This window comes from Homo sapiens, chromosome X (assembly GCF_000001405.40).
Source record: "Homo sapiens chromosome X, GRCh38.p14 Primary Assembly".
NCBI lineage: Eukaryota > Metazoa > Chordata > Mammalia > Primates > Hominidae > Homo > Homo sapiens.
Genome location: NC_000023.11, coordinates 138,838,887 through 138,861,106, shown reverse-complemented (window position 1 = coordinate 138,861,106; position 22,220 = coordinate 138,838,887). Strand labels below are relative to the sequence as shown.

Below are 22,220 nucleotides of genomic sequence, written 5' to 3'. Positions count from 1 at the left end.
TAGTCAATGGAAAAACATTTGCAATGGGAACTAGCTCTTTTATAAAAGTTGCTTATAACCATCATCCCACCACTAAAGTCACTTATTCTTATCACCTCTGTGTCTGAGTATGCCACCTGTCAGTGTCTGTGTGTCTGTGGATGTGTGGATTTGCACATGTGCACTTGTGTCCTCCTACTCTGCACTACTCCTGTGAGACTTCGGAGTCCTGAATGGGAGGGCTGTGTTTTCGAGGCTGGGGGCACTGCCTATATGGGCAAAATTTCCCCCCAAAGGCCTGTTCTTTGGCAGCTATTCTCATGGGGCTCAGCAGCCTTTCAAAAAGCATGGGGCTTCCAGATCCAGAAATAAACCAGGAGCCACTTTTACCACCTTATCTGTCTTGAAGAGTCAAGTTGAATTTCTGAAATCGGAGGAAGCTTTGTATAAATCTAATGTCTACCTAATCACTGGAATTTTTTGTCCACCTCCAAGACTGGATAAATCTATTTTTGGGTAGGGCAGCAGGAGTCACTGAATGAAAGGTGGACAAATGGTTCAGATGAACAGTGGCAAGAGTGGTTGTCAGAGGATAGAGGTCATGTGCAAGAAGGGAATGTACCAGATTGGGTAAAATGGCAGAAAACATTGCATTAAGCCAGGGAAAAAAGAAACCCATTCCCTTTTCCTATCTTAATGGGCTGGATTCTTTGCAGGTCTCCTTTTCCCTTCATAAAGCTGGTACCCCATGGACGCATTGCATCCTCATCACTTTCTTAGGGAATCAGAACAAAGCTACCCACCTATCTTACTGCTGGAGTCCTGTGGGAAGTCATCTTTCATTCTTTCTGCTGTCAACTGCACATACAGCCACCATCCTACTTGAGGGAGCCCTGGGAATAAGTGCATTTGATATAACAGTTTTAATTTTCCATCCAAAATATCTCAAATTAAAGAGATTTTATAAGCCAGCGTAATGTGTTGCCTATACAGTGCCACTTCTGGTTTAAAAAAATCAGTGTTTCTAGCTCTTTTGCCAACATAACATCAAGCTACTGTTGGTTGACTACTCTTTTTTTTTCTGTTTTGCTTGAATTGACTGACATTTGAGGTATTGAGGAGAGACAGCCTGAGACCCAAAGCTGACCCATTAACTCCCAGATGTTCACGATTTCCGAGGAAATGTTCTGTGCCTATGGTTACTGTTCTGATGACTCCTTGAACACTCTCATCTTGGCACCTTTTGCACTTGCTAAATTCAATTTGAAGAAAGAACAAAAGACAGGGAAAATTTTGTGGAAAGCAATTATCCTGCACTTTTATGACCTTCATGTTTTTCCCATCATGATGAATTTTGGGGTTAGCACTTGTATCAGTCAGCATGTAGCTTTCACTAGAATTTTGTTGTGTGTTACAGATAACCAGTCGTATCTAATTAAACAATAATGATGCCAGTACAAGGCATTTTCTGGGAATTAATGACCAGCTGGGAAAAGCTGATGGCTGGAGAGTCAGCCAAAGGCTATTAGCTTCAGTCCACTATTAATCTCCAGAAATGTCAATTTGTGACATCATTGTTGGTACTGAGCAATGAAAATGGAAGACAGTTTACTGTTATCTGTCACGTACTTCTGAATAACAAATTCCTTATGCATTGTCAAAAAGTCATTTTTTCTCTTTTATCCTCCAATTGTCCTTCAGTCTTATAATATGTTTTCTATACAGCAGTGGGTGAAAATGGAATTTCTCAGTTTCCATATAATCATGGGTGCTTCTTTTTTTAAAGAGTTCCAATTTGGGGAGTTTTATTTAAATATTTTGGATGGTAAAACTAGAATTTGTCTTCAGCTGTGATGCTGGAATTTGATGAGTGTCTATATTATCATAACTATCTGCTCATGGCAGGAAATGGTTACAAATGTTTTGAATAGCAGCTGTTGCTAGCAAAGATGTGCATTCAACAACGAGATTCTAAGAAGTTATAGTCGCATTCCTAGTAGATGAAGGGAACTCTCTACGGAAAAAGCTATCGTGGTGTGTCTATGTAATATTTTTGATTGCTGCTGCTGAATGCTAGAGGGAAATAGAGAACTGACTAAAATATCAGCATCACCATCTTGCATAATTTAATGAGTTATAAAGGAAGACAACAATCCCTCATAGAGTCAATCTATTAAGAACTTGTTCTAAACTCATAATACTAATTTAAAAGTTATGTTGGTTTTTATACTATTTTTTCCTTGACATGAAAGGAAATTCTTAAAGCCCCTTAAGATCCCAGCCAATGAGCTAGGAATGTTTTACCCAACACAGAAGCTTCATATCCCATCTAAATTCAGCCACCATTTGTTTATTTATTTATTTTTTTTTTTACAAACACCACGGCATTATTCACCCCACAAGAAATTTGCTAGTAGTATCAGTCCTCCTACATGCGTGTTAAGTGTATGCATTTCGGGTAGTAGAATGAGTCAGCTCGTCATTAATCAAAGCTTTGGAGGCACTGACTCACTTCTGGTGAAATGGAATGGCCTCATTGGGAAGGGTGTGAAAGAAAACAATTCATGCTGGGGTCAGTTCCCTGTTTCTGAAAATGCAGATCAAATTTGCACCTATTTTCATGGAAGGTTTTCAGAATAGAGAATGTAGCAGTGAACCCTATAAAGGCAAATATCTTGCTTTTGCAGGGAATAAAAATAATAGTGATACAAAAACACTAGTGATACACTTAGGAAGCATATAAAGAGCCTAGAAAGAAAAATGTGGACTGAGAGGATCCTGGTGTATACCTAAGGCCAAAATTATTAAACCAGGCCTGGCTCTTTTACAATCCAACAAGGTAGTCCTTTGACCAAGCGTTGTTTCGTAGGCTCTCAGCTGGAATCTCTTGTCTTCATTAAGGGGTTTTGAACATCTGAAGAATGTTTGCAACAGCTTCAGTTCTCTTTGGAAATCAAAAGAGTAAAGAGCAGTGACTGATTCTTCTGTCTGTCTCCGTGTATACTGCTTGGAAGTAAGGCCCTCACCAGGAGCAGACCAAGAAAAGAAACAGAAGCAAATTTACTGATAATTGGTGGATATTAGCCAGTTTAACCTATGAATACTTATATTGTACTCAATCTGAAACCTATAAGTTCTACATGGTGTTTATTTAGATACAACATGAGCATCCATATTAAAATACGTTTTTGCACTTTGGGTATGATTTAACACTGTTTTCATTGTACTAGCAACAGAGGTATATATAGTCGAGTAGCTATTTCCACGGCTTTAGTATTTTAAACTAAGCCCATTAAAATAAAATCGCCAAGCTATTAGATGTTTTTCTTTGAAACTTTTCTTAGGGCTGTTGTTTCTTTAGTCTTCCCTGGGAGTATATTTGATTTAAGACATTCGCTGCTTTTCTGAGGCTCTAACTTGAGTTCATTTTGTTATGTGGTGACCACAGTTCTGGATGACGCCCCCCCTGGCACACAGGAATACATTATGTTACGACAAGATTCCATCCAATCTGCGGAATTAAAGAAAAAAGAGTCCCCCTTTCGTGCTAAGTGTCACGAAATCTTCTGCTGCCCGCTGAAGCAAGTACACCACAAAGAGAACACAGAGCCGGAAGGTTTGTGCACGACAGACGCGTGTTTTGCTTGTTTTCTCTCATTCTTCTTTCTTTCTCTTTCTTTTGGATTGTGCATTGCCCTCTGGTGTGCTGTGTGTTGTTCAGGCCCTGCCATAGCTAGGAGGCCCCCTGGCTGGCTGGTGAAAGTGTTATACAGTCTCAGATGGGACGCTGTATAATATGGTCATCTCTGGCACAGCGCACAGCGTCACCCTGCTTTTCACAGCTGAAACATTTTCAGTTGCTGTCATTTTACTGCCCCATTTGGGCTGGCAAAGTTGCTTGCTTCTGTAGCCAACATCTGGCCAATTCTGTTCCCATCACCTTGCATTCCTGAAGCAGCAGTCAGCTGAGGAATGAAACTTCTAAAATGAAATAATGAGAAGATTGTTTCAAAAATTTTCAACTCTCCTTCACTCCATAAAGCTTTTGCATTGCACTTGAAGAATGCTCATGATCTACTTAGTTTGCTGAAGCAGGCCCAGATTACCTGTATAATGCACGCCCCGTTGCACTTTGCCATGGTAAAATGCATGCCTCAAGGAAACTATGAGTAGTTTGTTTTTTCTTTTCAGCTCAAGTACAGGTTTGGACAACTCTACTTGCTGTTACTTAAACTGAGGTTAATAAGGTACTCATTGCAATCCATATCACAAATATATCTTCAAAGTATTTCATCTGGCCAGAAATGGTATTTATTCATTGTTTCCAACATTTTTGCATCTATCAAAGAGAAATATTTTTCACATTACAAATAAAATGTGGTAAATTTATTGCCATCTGTTTACATTCCAGCTTCCAAAATAACTTCTGAGAATTATAATGTAAATGCTAATACTTGTTAAACAGCCCATTTTCCCCTCACATTAAATATCACTGAGGCAGTTTACCAATGAATAACATTTGGAAGTGACAAAATTCACCTGTTCTTTGGCAGTTGGTGTATACTTTTGCATTAGTGGTTTTTGTATAATTTCTAAAAGCGACCTTGTTTCTATTTCAAGTTGCCCTTTTGCATCATTATGGGAATCCTTATGATAATTGTCTTTCTGATATGGGAGAGACTGGCATGTGGGTTAAAATTCGGTGAGTAAATAAATTTCTCCAAATGCACTCTAGTCCGTAGTTTTGGAAGCAAAACTTCACAACTCAAAGTTTCCCCTTTTCTTCTTTCCAAATAGAGTTTAAGACAATCATTGGCAGAAAATGAGAAGCCTACATGTATCTGTGTTTAATTCAGCCATAGAATAGAGCACTCATATTTATATTCTACCCATACTTTTGGTGTCTAAACTATTCACGTTGAGTGTGACCACCGACTTCCACATATATTCATCTGGAGGTATAAATGGTGAACTTTTACAGTGAGTAAAAGCAATCATTTGGTTGTTTAGTGGAGAAGATAACTAACTTTATTTTGTACTTTAATGAAACAAAAAAATTTTAACCAGTGACAATTACTTTACTATATATACTACATTCCAATATTTTCTGCTTTCTTTACTCTAAAAATTATAAACACACACACACACACACACACACACACACAGTTTTTGTACTTGCAAATCAGCCTAAAAATCAAAATTTGGTTTCGTTAAGAAAAATAAGCCAGTTAAGAAGCAGCTGGTTAAATTCGCTCAAGCAATCAGTTACATAATTAAAATATTTTTAACAATATTTCAGATTTTAAAAAACAGTTAAGACCCCATTCCTTTTATTATTACATATAATTTTGACAGAATCTGTTATTTTCAAGTACCATCTGGAGTGTATTGTAAATACTGTTATGAATATTTTCAGATATAGAGAATTCTTAAGAGAATAGGTAGCAGTTAGACTCTCTTCTGCAAAGTTAGGTAGTTTTTGATCTGTCATTTAATCCACATATTGAGCTGTTGCCATTGTGTTTAATGGGGCTGCCATCCTTTCACTTGTGTACTGTGATGATGGGCATTGTCTTCTTTCAGATTGGAGATTTTCCTCAGTCTTGCCCTCCTTCCAGGTCCTCCTGCCACGATATCAAAGCTAATATTTCTGTCTTTATTCTTATGAATGATTTGTAACTAGTATTAAAGTCAGAGGTTTTCTGGGATGACATTTAAATACTATTTGCAATCTTACTGTACCCCCTCAAACAAGATCCCAGAATCTAATGATGAACTCAGACCTTAAAATGAAAACACTTGATCTCTACACAAGTTAACAGGATCCAGAAGGCTTTAGATGGGGGCGAAAGAAAACATGCTGTGGAGCTGATCTTGGATAAATAAGGAAACATTGCCAAGAACTTAACATGCTTACTTCATGTAGGATATCGAAGCTCATCATTTCCAGGAGGCGAAGTAACTATGGGTTTGGAAGGGTTCACTGGTCATTCTGGCAACCTGGAAGATTTTTGCAGGACTGTTTTTTAATTGCCGTAAGTTATAGTGTTCGGTTCCCTCTTAAGGTTGTTGTGACATTTTGTTATAATTAGTAGAAATAAAAGACCTCTTTTTTTTTTTTTAACAAATGGATAGTGTTTTGCATTTAAACTATGTCTATACCTTGAAACATTTTATTGTTACGTGAAACATTTTGAAGAGATACTCCCTGTCATGGCCTCCGTGCCAAAACATGAGACCTTAATTGACCTTGGCTGTGGATGCTCACCAATTCTACAGCAGGTGAAGGCAATGGACAGGGTGGTTAAACCATACATTGTTTGATCTATGCAATGCCCGTATGCTAGTATAACCTCTTCTAATGAGATTATTTTTTTATGCAATGTTAAAACCCCCAAATGAAAAATTAAAAAAAAATTTTTAAGCCTTTTGGGGAAATAAATGTTTGAATTGCGTAAGCTTTAGAAATGATTAATTAAACAGGTTTATGTGTATTGTGATACAGTTGGAATTACTAAATTGATAAAAATTACCCAACTCTTTTTTAATTAGTATAGATAAAGTCTTGCTGTTTCTTTTGTTTGGCAGTGGTTTATAAGGGCTGGGCTGTTTTCATAGTTTATGACCTCTTAAGATTTGCTACAGATAATTTAACATTGTTTATAGTCACCCATCTTTTTATAGATATTTTTGTCTTACGTCCAGGGCCCTCAGAATCCATATAAAATAATACACAAAGGGACTGAAATATCTCACTGGCTTTTCAGGATACACGAAGGCCAAATTACACTTTGCCAATACCAGGTTTCTATTTATGAATATCCAATTCCAAAAAAATTTTTAATCTGTTCCAAACATTTGCGATTTTCAGTGACATGATTATTTCTATAAAAACCACTTATGATATAATATTATGTGAGTGCTGGAATTTGGCTGAAGAAGTGCACACAAGTATCTGAGAGTCTAATTTGGCCCAGTACCAGCAATGTTCTTTGTTAAAAGAAAGCCACATGGAGAGTGGAGATCATTACCAAAATCTTTTTCTTACCGCTCCAGGAGCCTTTTGGCAAAAGAAAGTATAAGCTTCATAGCTTTATTCTTTTGTTCACTTTATCTTCCTATGGCATTTGTGCCAAAATGAAATCACTAATTTAGAGTAACTCCTGGAAGCCAATCTAATATTAGCATAGTTGTCATTTCCTAAATGCCACTCCTTGGACTTTTACTGATGTTCGAAGATTGTTAAAGAGAATCACACCAAGATAAATATGCTTGCAAGTAGATAGTGTTGGAAATCTACAGGGAAAAATAAATCATGGATTCCCAGTGTTTGCTTTTAGGGTTTAAAATTCTGATTACGATAGTAAATGTGAAGAAATTAATGCAACATAGGAAAGTACTACAGAGCTTGGTGATTTGTCACCATCTTTTTATCAGGCATTTGAGCTCTTTGCTATAGTCCTGTTTTCATGTGATTACACACACACACACACACACACACACACACGCACACGCACACACACACACATTCTGTCTTCCTTAGGGCATTCGTAACCTTTTTATTCAGAGAGCCATCCAACCATTGCGGCTTTGGTTGGAGAAGAGAATCTGTGCTGGAGATTGATGATAAAGTATGGCAGCTTCCACCAACCAAGAGAAAGCAAAATTACATGCTAAATGGTAAGGGGGTATATTTGTAACTACCATGTCTGTTACTCTGATAATGCGTTGGGTTATTCCAGAAAGAGCATACATCACCATGAATATCAGTCTTACCTTAATGATGGGAGAGGAAGAAGTCAGAGGAATGCTGAGGAACATGCTGAGGGAAATGTTTTTCATCTTCATGTTTTTTCAACATTGTTGTTTTCCTGTTGTGCCTTCCTCATCTTAATGCTAATTTTCCTTTCGAGAAAAATGTGTCAGCATTAATTTGAATTAATAGTTGAATAAAACTAAACTATGGTTATTAAATCATTTTGTCACTAAGCTAGAGTTGGGTAATAACCTCTGATGCTTGTCAGCTGAAAATATCTTGACTTTCAGGAAAGACATAACTAGGTTCCATGTCTGTCTCCTTTAGAATAATTGAGGGGACATTCCTATTCTGTTAGAAAAGCATGGGGCCTTGGTTTGCATTTCTTTAATTATCAGTGATAATGAGCTTTTTTTTTTCTAATGTGTTTGTTGGCTGCATGAATGTCTTCTTTTGAGAAGTGTCTGTTCATGTCCTTTGCCCACTTTTTAATGGGGTTGTTTAGTTTTTCCCTTGTAAATTTGTTTAAGTTCCTTTTAGGCTCTGGATATTAGACCTTTGCCAGATAGACAGATTGCAAACATTTTCTCCCATTTTATAGGCTGTTTGTTCACTCTGATGATAGTTTCTTTTGCTGTGCAGAAGCTCTTTAGTTTAATTAAATCCCATTTGTCAATTTTTGCTTTTGTTGCAATTGCTTTTGATGTTTTCATTATGGAATCTTTGCCCATGCCTATGTCCTGAATGGCATTGCCTAGATTTTCTTCTAGGGTTTTTGTAGTTTTGGGTTTTATATTTAAGTCTTTAATCCATCTTGAATTAAGTTTTGTATAAGGTACAAGGAAGAGGTCCAGTTCCAATTTTCTGCATATGGCTAGCCAGTTCACCCAGCACCATTTATTAAGTAGGGAATCCTTTCCCAACTCCTTGTTTTTGTCAAGTTTGTCAAAGATCAGATGGTTGTAGGTGTGCGGTCTTATTTCTGAGTTCTCTATTCTGTTCCATTGTTGTATGTGTCTGCTTTTGTACCAGTACCATGCTGTACCGTTACAGTATACTTTGAAGTCAGGTAGTGTGATGCCTCCAGCTTTGTTCTTTTTGCTTAGGATTGTCTTGGCTATGCAGGCTCTTTTTGGTCTCATATGAATTGTAAAATTGTTTTTTTCTAATTCTGTGAATAATGTAAATGGTAGTTTAACAGGAATAGCATTGAATCTATAAATTACTTTGGGCAGTATGGCCATTTTAAACATATTTATTTTTTCTATCCATGAGCATGGAATGTTTTTCCATTGGTTTGTGTCCTCTGATTTATTTTGAGCAGTGGTTTATAGTTCCCTTGAAGAGGTGTTTCACTTCCCTTGTTAGCTGTATTCCTAGGTATTTTATTCTCTTTGTAGCAATTGTGAATGGGAGTTCATTCATGATTTGGCTGTCTGCTTGTCTGTTGTTGGTGTGTAGGAATGCTCGTAATTTTTGCACATTGACTTTGGATCCTGAGACTTTGCTGAAGTTGCTTACCAGCTTAAGAAGCTTTTGGGCTGAGACAATGGGGTTTTCTAGATATAGGATCACATCATCTGCAAAGAAAGACAATTTGACTTCCTCTCTTCCTATTTGAATACACTTTATTTCTTTCTCTTGCCTGATTGCCCTGGCCAGAACTTCCAATACTGTGTTGAATAGGAGTGGTGAGAGACGGCATCCTTGTCTTGTGCCGGTTTTCAAGGGGAATGCCCCCAGCTTTTGCCCATTCAGAATGATATTGGCTGTGGGTTTGTCATAAATGGCTCTTATTATTTTGAGGTATGTTCCTTCCATAACTAGTTTATTGAGAGTTTTTAACATGAAGGGGAGTTGAATTTTATTGAAGACCTTTGCTGCGTCATTAGAGAAATGCAAATCAAAGCCACAATGAGGTACCATCTCATGCCAGTCAGAATAGTGATTATTAAAATGTTAAGAAACAACAGATGGTGGTAAGGCTGTGGAGAAATAGGAATGCTTTTCCACTGTTGGTGGGAATGTAAATTAGTTCAACCATTGTGGAAGACAGTGTGGCAATTCCTCAAAGACCTAGAACCAGAAATACCATTTGACCCAGCTATCCCATTACTGGGTGTATACTTAAAGGAATATAAATCATTCTGTTATAAAAATACATGCATACATATGTTCACTGCAGCACTATTCACAGTAGCAAAGACATGGAATGAACCCAAATGCCCATCAATGATAGGCTGGATAAAGAAAATGTGGTATATATACACTGTAGAATACTATGCAGCCATAAAAAGGAACGAGATCATGTCCTTTGCAGGGACATGGATGGATCCAGAGGCCATTATCCTCAGCAAACTAACACAGGAACAGAAAACCAAACACCACATGTTCTCACATGTAAGTGGGAGCTGAACAATGAGAACACATAGACACAGGGAGTGGAACAACACACACCGGAGCATGTTGAGGTGAGAGGTATCGGGGGAGGGAGAGCATCAGGAAAAATAGCTAATGCATGCTGGGCTTAATATTTCGGTGATGGTTTGATAGGTGCAGCAAACCACCATGGCACACATTTACCTATGTAACAAACTTGCACATCCCACACATGTACACCGGAACTTAAAAAGAAAAGCATGGGACCATGTGTTCTGGTGACTCTGAAGAGATAAGAAGACTTTGTTCTCAACCTTTTTATTTCAAAGTCACTTTTTTCTTTCATGACTTAGGGCCACCCTGCCTTTGATTTATGACCTGAAGGATCACAAAATGACACAAGACAATTTTCTTTGCTCATTGAAGCAAATGGCAGCTTAATTGCAGAGTCACAAGAAAGATAAAAAAATATTAGTCCAAATTAATGCCAGAAATCTGGTGGCCTTGGTCATTAGCAGTGAGTAAACACTATCCTCTCCCCACAAAGTATTTAATTCTATTTCTCTTACAGCTTATGTCCTGATAACATTAGTAAACCAGCAATGGCAATGAAACCCATTCTTTCTTCCCCCTTATTTCCCCTACCTTATGGCAGCAAACACAAAATGAAGTCATATTTTGGGGATAGTTTCTACTCTCTGGAAAACTTACAGTCTAATCAAGGAGTATGTATAGTAGCCAGTAATTCACTTTCATGATAAGATGGACATTTATCATTCTCTTATTGAATATATGCATCTCCATTCAGTCTCTAGGCTGGAGGCTGGCTTTTAGAGTACAAACTAATAACCGTTCGTTCTTTAAAATATCATTCACTTTTTAAAGCAACTGACCTCCCCTCTCCCTTGAGCTTATGTGTTCCAATCATGGTGGTGGTTTCCTTGAGACAAAGTTGTTTCTCCTTTGTAACTCTCTTGGCTGAAGTCTTCCTTAGTTAATACTTGGAGCAGACATTTCTCCTGTATGAAGCCAGCACTGATGACCCGTTTCAGGCATTTATGTTTAAAGTGACACTTATCTGCGAAAGTGCTTTGAAAGTTCTACTAGATGAATGACAGTGTATGCTGGTGATTTTGATTTTAAAAAGTCAAAATCAAAGATACTTGAAAACATCTGGAAGTTATACATCCATATGGGTGCTTCCCCTTTCAAGGCCAAGACATCAGGGATTGTGTTGGCAACATGCTCTTGGGATGATGTCTTGCCAACTTTTCTGGAGTTTTTTTCTCTTCCCAGCCAGTTGGTAAACCACTTAAGAAATTCTGCCTTCTGGACCCAGCATGGTATGACCCAGCTAGGCTATGTTCCATGTCCATAAAGGCATAGCCTGAAAGACTGGTTGATTCCCCAAATCAAGCCCAATCCTGATATTAGAAGTCTACGTCTATTAAGGAGATGCACAAGAATGTTCTGCTCCCTCTGCTCCAATTTTCACCCTGTCTTTTGTTTTAAATGACAATTCACTTGCCTGGTTGAAGAGAATACAGGAGTGAACTATAATCTTTTTCACAGATTCTTACATAGTTATCAGATCAATGTTTTCCAATAATATTTCATGCAACACTGATCATATATTTATGTAAAAAGACAGCATTTGTGGTCAAATATGTTTCCCAAATTACACGCCATTCCTAGAGAGTCACAATGCATATGAGTATATGAAAGATTTTAAAGAGTCTTGCAGATTAGGAAGCTGTCTACCTTAGGCAGTTCAGTGGTAAACAGCATCTTCTAGCTACTGGACCCTTTTACTGATAATACAGATGAACATCTTCCAAGTAACACTTTGGGAAAGGCTCTGCTGGCTCTACTAAGCAGTGTGTTCTCATCAAACATGAGCTTTGTCAAGTAGCACACTTTTGAAAATGATTGCTGTTCCCTTCCTCTCGATTCCCACCTACTATCGTTAGAGAAAGGCTACTCAAATGTTCTTCATGTGTCTCAAGTTCTTTGTTACCAATCCATGACTAGATAAGGATCTTATGCCAGAAGGTAAATCACTGCTTCCTTCATGAAGAAAATATTGCTGTCTTGCTGTGAAAAGTAATGTCAGCTGAACTAAATAAGAACTGTATTAAGTAACATAGTTCACAGACTAGTGCTATGTTTGTGTACCATACATTGAGTAACACTGCTTTAGATTAGTGATTCTCAAACTTGGCTGTACATTGGAATCAACTGAGGATATTTAAATACTACTGACGCCTGAGCTCAACATCAAACCAAAAACTGACAATCAAACAAACAAACAAAGAAAACCTGCAAAATCTCTTGTCGTGCTTCTGGTCCCAAGCATTTCAAATAAGAGATACTCAACTTTTAGTTACTAGTTTTTATATGGATAAAACATTTCATTCTATGTCCTCATTGTATATTTTTTCTTGAGAAGAAATATTTCTTGAGAAGAAATAATTAAGTAAAAAGGACTTTATAACTGGAAAAAAATTTATTGTGGTAGCGGCTCAACAGGGGTACTTTTTTTTAAAATCTATCTAAGTGATTCTAATGTGCTAACAGGGTTGGAATCACTGCCTTAGGAAATAATCACCTTGGCATAAGGTCTGCTGAGTGATGTCAGCTGTCAATCCAGGAATCTTATCATGCTGATTGCATGGGCCTCTTCAAAAGGTGCCCTGTGATAGAGGGCTCAGCTGGAGAGGCAGCCCTTATATGACCTTTAGAACTTATGGCCATGTAAGGTATCCGTCTTTCCCACCATGTGCACACACACCTTTCTGAAGTTCCCTTACTTGTTTGCCACTCTGTGCTTTTAGAAAAATAATTAGGATTCTCCATAAGCGTGTGGTAATCTGCCACCTTGTGACCAACATTCTTTCTTGCAAGCAATTGTTGAAACACTTGTTCTGCTCTCAGAATCTGATGCAGCTTGCAAGTATGGGTCAAAGAGTTTCTCAGACTGTACTTAAACAAGAAGATGGAGAAGGAGAAAAGGGTGTCACGATATGCCAGAAAAGTACTGACAATTCTTTACTTGATTGCTACTGCTCTAGAGTAAGATTGCAAAGCTTGACTCAAGCAGCTTGTAGCCTGTGTATCTGTCTCTGTGTTACACCAGAGGCTGTCATCGAGGCATTGCCCTCTTATCATCTAAATGTAATCGGCTACTGCAGCATAAAAGGATTACAGCAGCCCATATGTGAAACTTGACTCTGACATGATTAGGAGGCTTTAATTGCTATCCATGTTTATAAATCATTCCTAGCATTTTAAACTACGTGGATTCTGATATTCATTTCTTATACTCTACGGCATTTTTTAGTGTGCTTAAGAATAGCACCTTCAATAATGACCACTGTGAAAGCGTTAAACAAGAGACATTATATTCTGCATTTTATCAGCACTTGCCCTTGTCTTGCCTCACAGCCAATATCCACACTCACTCCAGCACATGAAAATCACTTGTCCACTTCCACCCATGTGCTAGCAAATTTTTACTTATGAGCCCTAGCTATTTTAAGATATATATTCTCAGAAGCATGTCCAGCTTTGGAAGCAGCAAGTGTACAATGGCCCCAAGACTATATCTACAAAAGGGAAAGGGAAGAGAGCGTACTTCCACTGGGCCACATCTTCAGTGACAACACTGTGCATAGCCCCTTAGAAGCATGATCACGAAAACCCTGTCAGATAGGGTTGCTACTACCATTTCACAGATCAGCAAACTAAGATGCAGAAAGAGTAAGTCACTTCACCAGTAAATGAGAGGACTTGATTTGAACCTAATTTTTCTGGCTTCTAAAAGCCATGCCTTCTCCCCTCCATGGCTTCTCCATATGCTCAGTTTCCCCCCTCTTGCTCCATAAGTGCATTTGTTATCTAAAACAAACTGTAGTGCTAAAAAGTGATCTTAAGTGTAAAGGAATAAAATTCTGTCTACAGTCCTTCCTCAGCTTTGTGACAGCAAGAGTTTGTCATAAGCAGAAGGGACTCGACTCAGGAGGTACTTGCTCATTCTGTAGGCCTAAGATTAGGTAGAGTGCAGCACTCAAAAGGAAGAGATGAAATGACCCTTACCTTTAAGGAACTGATGACTTGGTCCCGGCATACAAAGAAATAATGGAGTGATTAATGAATACTTAAATTCGATTTGAATGCAATAGATCTGTTCCTAGATAAAAGATATTAAAAGCTCACTTGTCTACTCTGCTTTCTTTAGGCTAGGGAATGTGCCTTTCCACCTATGTGTTAGTCAGTTCTCACACTGCTATAAAGAAATACTTGAGACTGGGTAATTTATAAAGAAAATAGGTTTAAGTGGCTCACAGTTCTGCAGGCTGTACAAGAAGCATGATGCTGGCATCTGCTTAGCTTCTGGGGAGGCCTCAGGAGACATTTAATCATGGCAGAAGGCAATGCTGGAGCCAGCACTGAGAGAGGTGGCATCCTTTTTACGATAGTCTGTCCACAAATACAGGGAGACTCGAGGAAATGACACATCCATATTGAAATTATTTGCTTCTTCTCTCTCTTTCCGTGCATGAGCACAGGTGACTTGCCCTGAATTGGGTGTAAAACCTTCACAGAGGACTTCAATGGGGCAGGAGCTGTCTCAGTTGAGCTCCACCAGAGACCTGCCATTGCTCTCATAATGGCACAGTTGATTCTGTCCCTTCCAAAAGCACAAAACACTGGGACAAGGGAAACATGCCCCTTTGTGGTCGCTAGTTGCCATTCAAAGAGGGTTTGAATACACACACACACACACACACACACACACACACACACAAATGGACACATATTACTATTTAAAATAGTTTATTTGGGGGAAAAAACACTTAAAAGCAGAATAGTACAGCTCACATGGTTCCTCTACTGGAGTCCTTTCTACGATACATCCAGCCCAACAAAGCCCAGATTAATCACAGCCCTCTATGGGATAATATGGGCTCAAGCAAGCCATTCATACAGCGAGGACATTTGTCTAGCAAACTGCCTCAGGCTGTGAACAAAATCGGGTTCTTTTTAAGCAACAAGGAAGGAACAAAGGGCATTTCAAAAAGTGGGGATTATAGAAGCTGCCAGCAAGTAACTTTTCTCTTATGTTCCTTCTTCAGCCATTTCCCCTCTGTACTTACTTGATTTTTCTCTGAGAAGATAGCATTTAGAATCCATGTTAGAAGATTCATGAACTAATTCAGTAAATCTCTAATTGGCATACATGGTAAGCTGTTCACTTAGTGGATAATTGGTTAAATGTACCCAGAATATTTAGTGAGGGAGAAAAAAAATCCCCAAAGCAAATCAGCATAGTTTAGGAACCTTTTCCTCTAGTGCCGCTTTTTCTTTGTGAATGGCTACTGGTGCTTAAAAGTGGTCTCTCTCCCTTCCCAGTCAGGACTCCATTTAAATATACAACCTCCATTGCATCCCTACTTAATAGAGCTTTATTAAATGGATACCATAAGCATAGCACAGTGTCTGTCAACAGTAAGTGCTCAATGAATATTTATTATTACAAATAACTTATTTATCTAACACATTTTGATATTCTGTGTTCAACGGCCATTTGCTCTAATTCCAGGTGGCAAATGACTGAGTGCTTCTCATCACCATTAGCAGAATTGATATATTTGTTAATAGGTGTTTATTGAGTGTCTTGCACAAGCCAGGCATTATGGTGGGTAGGCACAGCATGATAAGACAGATTACATCTCTGCCCTCAAGGAGGAATTAAAGACTAGCAGGAAAGCAGACTTAGAACTACTTGATTATCAAGATTGTGTTGCATTCAAAAACACTCTAATACATAGTGGCTTAAACCCGCTAAATATATTTTATTTCTCTTGGGCTATAGGTTGGCTCTGTGGTTCTGCTGATCTAAGCTGGGCATTGCTTATCCTTCCTGGGCTCAACAATATATTTGTGGTCAGCTGGTAAGGCAGGGTGGCATTGACTGTTCTATGATGAGTTTGTACAGGACACCTCAGCTCTCCATGTGTTTTTCAAGTCTTATTTATCTATTTTAATATTCATTTATTAATTTTTTTCATTGAACATTTACTGAGCAACTTTTCTGTGTGTCAGGCACTATATGGCCTTGCATTTCAATTGCTCAGGAATGAGTTCTATGCTGGTAACACACATTCAGTATTGTTAGCCTCTGGCCAGTATTAAAACCATGAAAGCAGATGAGACACATAGGGAGAGAGACTAGAGAAGCAAGGCCTGGGGCATAGAAACATTGTAAGATGTTATAGAGAAGAAAGGACTCCAGAAGAAAAAGAAGGAAAACCAAAAGAATGAGGTCTAAGGAAGCCAAGGAAGGACTCGGCTTCAGGAAGGAGGAATGGATCAGTAGAGCTGAATGCGGTAAATCGTTGCTAATTTAATACAATCCTTTCATATATCCCTTTTAGCATCTAGGCTTTGTAATCCAGTTCCTTTCAATGTAGAACAGATGTCTCTGCCTCTCACGCTCTTGGGAATAAATGGCATAAATCACTGAAATAGTTAAACTGACCCTTGATAGATAGAGTGATGAGGAATTAGATGTTGTCTAACTGCTAAGGAAAGAGTAGGTCTTTGTAAAGATGTCATCGATTTTTCTTCTCTATAATGCCTGTAAAGTTTAAGGCTTTGGCAAGACCAATTTATTCTTTTGTTGTTTATCCTTTTGAATGTAGTTAAGCTTGCTCGGTAATTTTTTCTGTAATCTAAAAATATTGGATCACTGAGAATTAAAATTAAATCACCCCTTGAGTTTGGTATTTTAAAACTGACAAACTTTGAAGCCACATTAATATGATACAATCAAGATGACATTACATGTGTTTCCAATAAAGCAAGTTTTCTGCCAACTTTACAAACGTGCACTTTTGCTAGAAATTGATTCCTTGTCTAGCAGTGAACGTTTCTTGCTGAATGAAAGAAGTAGTGTTTAAAAAGAACAAATACACAGTTTTGTGGTGAAGAACTGTTAACAATATGATATAGAGTCTATGTAATTAGGCTAAGTTTTTATCTAGGATTTGTGAATGTTGATCCTAAGGAAATGATAACTTCCTATGCAAAATATGATGAAAGTTTTCTGTACAGAGTGTCCCACTCACCAAGGTCAAATGCTACTTCCTTAGTAGCCTCAAGGGAGGAAATAGGCTATGTGTTTTTGGGATTAAAAAAATAAGAAATTAAATGAATTCATTTTTCATAGTGTAAGGTAGAGTGTTTGGGAAAAAAATTCTTTTTGAAGGTCTGTCCTATGTATTTGAAGGTTTTTTTCCCTTGCACTTGGATTGTCCCTTAATTCAGACTGTATTAGGATACTACCCATTTCTAAACTAACATGAGAGACTAGAGCTTTTAGACACTTTTTGCTGACTGCCCTTTTTCCTAAGACAGGAGAATGTCATGACAGAAAATACTGCATTCCCAAAACATCTATTGAAATAAAAAAAATGTAGAAAGAAAATACTGCATTCATGGACCTACCTCTAGCAGCATTCCATTTTTTCCTTAGCATATCCAATACTACTTTTCTCCCTGAATTTGTTTAAATTAAATCTGTGCTGAGACAGGATCTTGTGCTTTGATTATAGGTTGGAATCTCAATAGTGGAACATGTGAGCTAACCAGGGAGCTTGTGAACCCCTTTGATATCCTGTCATCCTTTTCTCACCTATGTGGTAACCTAGAGAAAGGACTTTGAAGAAGAAGGAGAAATATCTCTGTAGGTAGATGGAAGAAGGTTACATTTAACATGCGAACTGAACTTTATCTTCTCTCTTGTTTAGTAAAATCACTGCTGGTTGGAGGAGCAGGGAGTGGACACTGGGAAAATCAGAAGCCAACCTGTGCCCCTACAGTGCTCCAGAGCTTTAGTATTTATTACATTTATGGAATGTTACCTATTTTTTTTCTACATAGAAGGTTTTAACAAATCAAGCAACACATTCTCATACTTGATAATGAATAACATTGGCTTAAAAATTACACCAAATTATCATGAGAAGCACAAGTGAGACCTAAAACCCAGTGAGCAAATCTGTTAGTGATTCTTTTCAGCTGTAAAAATTAGTTGAGATATTTATTTTTCCTTCAGTCAGTAGTGCCAGGCTCTGTGTTGAGCTAGAGCAGGATTTCTCAACTTTGGTGCTGTTGACATTTGGGGCTAGATAATTCTGTTGTCAAGGGCTGTCCTATATATTGAAGGATATTGAGCAGCATCCCTTGACTCTACCCACTAGATGCCAGTAGCACCCCATCCTAGTTGTGACAACTCAAAATATGTCCAAATATTGCCAAATATCCCATAAGGAGCAAAATCACCTTGTTAAGAACCACTGGGCTGTGTAATACCTATACAAACAAAACACATATATTCTGAAAATTACTCTGCTTCTTTGAGAGCCAGTCAAAATACTTCTGTTTCATCATAACCAAGGTTCTCCATCCTTGGGTTACTAAGGTAGTAGTTTCAACTTAATTCAAACTCCGCCTTACTCTTCCTGATCCTTCCCCTGCCCTTCTCAAACCTTTAACTTATCTCAGCTATTTATACAAATATAAATATATTTATATTATATAAGGCTCTCCAGTAGAGCTCAATGCAGTGATTTGGTATAAGAAAACTGAGGCTGCTTCGGGTTAAATTCCACTGTCATTGAATGAGTTACAACTTGGTTTGTTCCCTGTGTCTACTATAGGAGATCTGGAGAAATATGACAGAGTCCCTGCCTTTTAGGAGCTTGACATGAAAACTCTGTATATGAAAAGGAATGTAAGTCAGTTATATCATGGGCTCAGGCTCAAATATAAGCTCATTCAGAAAAATCTTTTCATTGCTGTCCTTTTAGAAGGCTTCTGCTCAGTCTAGCCTTTCTTCAGCAGGGCTGATGATGAGCAGAGGTGAAGGTATTCCTCAAGATTTTATTTTTCATGTTTTCATATCTAGTTCAACATTGAAAAACTTAGAACATTCAAGCTAACTATTCAGACTCGACTAACATTGGGTACCTATAATGGTGCCAGGCACTGGGCTAGTTGCTTCACTCAGTATTTAATCTTTAAAATAACTGCCAAAATGAAGCATCACTTTTTCCTTACCTCATCCTGGTTCCTTTACACTGTCAGCAAGTCTATGAGATCAGGAAAGAAGGAATTTTGGAATTTTCACATAATATTTTGGGGGACATGCAGTAACTAAACTCATTAAAATTCAGAGAAATTAATACTCCAAAAGACTATCAAAGAATAGAATTAAGTTTACCTCTTAGCTAATTTAATGTATTTTGATTTATTTTTTCAAAAGCAATTGTGGTTTATCTGGTTCCTGTTTCTTAGCTTTGATTTTGTTCCTTTATCGTAGTAAAGTGTCCTCAGTGACTCATGTTACTTTGGATAAGGTCCGTTCCTTCCTTGAGTCTCCATATCCTTATATATATATAAATAAAAAAAATTTTTAAAAAGGATTGGATAGGTACTGAATTCTCTTATTTTGTATATCTCAAGATAGTTTAAAATAAGACTCAATTTGTTATTATGTTTCCTGACAACTTTATGCATAGTTAAAATGGAAATTCAACTAATAGATATGGTTGAAGTCTGACTTCATAATTGTTTCAAGTTTTTGCTGCGTTGGTTGAGCTTGAGGGGAGGTTTCCTGGCCATATAATGATGGCCGTGGGCTTCTCCTTTTTCACATTTTTGCTGAAACTCGTGATCTTAATTCTGGACTTTGAGAAGATTAAAGCCTAGGCATGACCTGGTATGGGCACAGGGAGAAGGAAAAGTAACATTTTGTAAGTACTTGCCTGTCTTCCTTTTGAAAATTAGGTAATATGATCGAATTAGCTAAGTAACTTACCCAACATCTCACCATTAGAAAATGGGGAGATCGAAGTACAAAACTATATTCTCTTTCCAAGCCACACTCTGTTTCTTCCAAAAGGGAGACTCTCAAGACCTGCCATATGGATTAGGAGGTAAGCATACTTTTCCTGTTAACTCTGTGACCTGTTAACTCTTCCTTTTAGTGCCTCAAATCTTGACTTCAGGGACCTAATGCTTTCATGAACCTAATGCAAAGAACCCCTTGCTTTGTGTTATTTTGTGGAAGAATAATTTGGAGCAAAGAAAATCCCCTCACCATAGGCAGAAAGTCAGAAACTGGAAGCAAGAGAAAATGCTTGGTTGGTAGACCACCACCCTGGCCACTGGACTTCGTACCTTTATATCCTGATTCAAAATGGTAGATATCAATTTTAACATCACTCCTCAATTCACCAGCCCCTGTCTTGGGGCTTCCCTGGCATTCATCTTCTACCTATATTTCCTTCCTTCCCTTCCAGATAACACAATGAGAGTCAGGTATGGGGAGGCTTTATTCTGAAAGGAACCACATCTGTTTTCACTTTCCCTTTTTCATTTAGATATCCACTGTTTTATTATTGTTTTATTATGATTTCCCCTGTAGAGAAGTATACAGTGGCAGGGCGACCTGTTGTGCATATTGAATTTTACCCTTCATTTACTCCAATGTTTGCCTATTTCTGCTAGAAGCTGAACAGCAATCCATATTCTCCCTGTGTGTAAACTGTTTCTGGATAAGCATTAGGTACCATGGCGGGATGTTTGTTTATCCAACTGAAAGTCTAAAGGTTTTCAAACTCCCCAGTTCTCTTTTAGGTGGTAGCCTATTCATAGAATCAGCACTGCTGATTTATGAGCACCATAGCTGCTCAGATCTCTAATATTTCTACAGCTATTCCAAATTCCAGTAGTTTAGATAATGGAGGAATTTAATGAATAGCTAGAGAAACATACAGATGTTCCAGTTTCAGTGGAAACTAGAGAAACTTGTAGAATATTGCCTCAAGTCAGGTTTTCATTTCACCTTTCTTTACCCTTGTCCCCAGCATCTGACATTGGATTAAGAGCAGCAACACCATAGCCACCATTGCTAAAGTGCAATCTGGGCCAGATATCACCTCAAGTTTCTATAATCTCGATAGAAATGCTAGAATGTAGATATTTTATCCCATTTTTATACAGAAGGAAATTGAGCCTCAAAGACTTTAGGTAAGGCAGAACTGAAAACCCCAGTAGGTGTTAAAAAATATAATGTGATTTGAATTTTGAACTATAAGTTTTCTAAGCCAGATGGCTTTTACATCTGGGGTGTTACCTGGGTTACTGACTTGAACTGTTGTTTAAGATGTGACTAAACTTAAATTTATATTCTCTATTGACAAAACATTTTATTCTAGAGTAATTGCTGTACTAGATACAAAAACACTGCATTGGTAAATCTTTTGTTAGCTGTAAAGATGGTAGCTGCATATGTATGCATTCAAATCTGCTTGTTCATAAATAGAAGACCTGATTTATTAAAGATTTTCATATCTGACATTTTAACTTGAGATTTTTCACTTTCCTTTTTCTGTGAACAGCACGGCTCATCTCTGTAAGTTCAAAGTTTGTCAAGTTCATAACTCTTAAAAACCTTGCACAAACCATAACCTCGCCCTTTGCCTTCCCAGATCTATTCCCGAAACTGTCATCTTGATAGATTCGTGGAATAACCCTTCCTTCTCAATTTCTCAGCACTTTTCTGACCCCCTCTGTCTTAGTCTGTTTTCTGCTGCTATAAAAGAATACCATAGAGTGGAAAATTTTTTTTTAATGATTTATTTGGCTTACCATTCTGGGAGATGGGAAGTCCAAGACCGAAAGGCCACATCTAGTGAGGGCTTTCTTGCTGTGTCATAAGATAATGAAAGGTATCATATGACAAAGAAGTGTGGAGGGATGAAAGATAGAGGAAATTGAACCAAACCCATCCTTTTATCAGGAGCCCACTCCTACCTTAACTAACCTACTCCTACAATAATGGTATTAATTCATTCATGAGGGTAGAGCCTTCACGCCCTAATTACCTTTTAAAGGTGTCACCCATAAATACCATCACATTGGCAATTAAATTTCAACATGAGTTTTGGGGGACATATTCAAACCATAGCATTCTTCTCCTAGTCCCTCAAAATTCATGTATTTCTCACATGTAAAATAGATTCATTCCATCCCAGTA

At 37.9% G+C, this 22,220-nt stretch overlaps 1 protein-coding gene across 4 annotated transcripts in view; it reads left to right on the top strand.

Moving 5' to 3' along the window:
• FGF13 (fibroblast growth factor 13) overlaps nt 1–22,220 on the top strand; it is a 590,297-nt gene that overhangs the window by 343,917 nt on the left and 224,160 nt on the right. For 3 of the 4 annotated variants that reach the window (NM_001139500.2, NM_001139501.2, NM_001139502.2), the window contains one exon: nt 3,428–3,595. The exons of the other annotated variant lie outside the window; for it this stretch is intronic. In NM_001139500.2, coding sequence (NP_001132972.1) covers nt 3,428–3,595 — 168 coding nt within the window. The remainder of the gene's footprint in view (nt 1–3,427; nt 3,596–22,220) is intronic. 4 annotated transcript variants of the gene reach the window in all.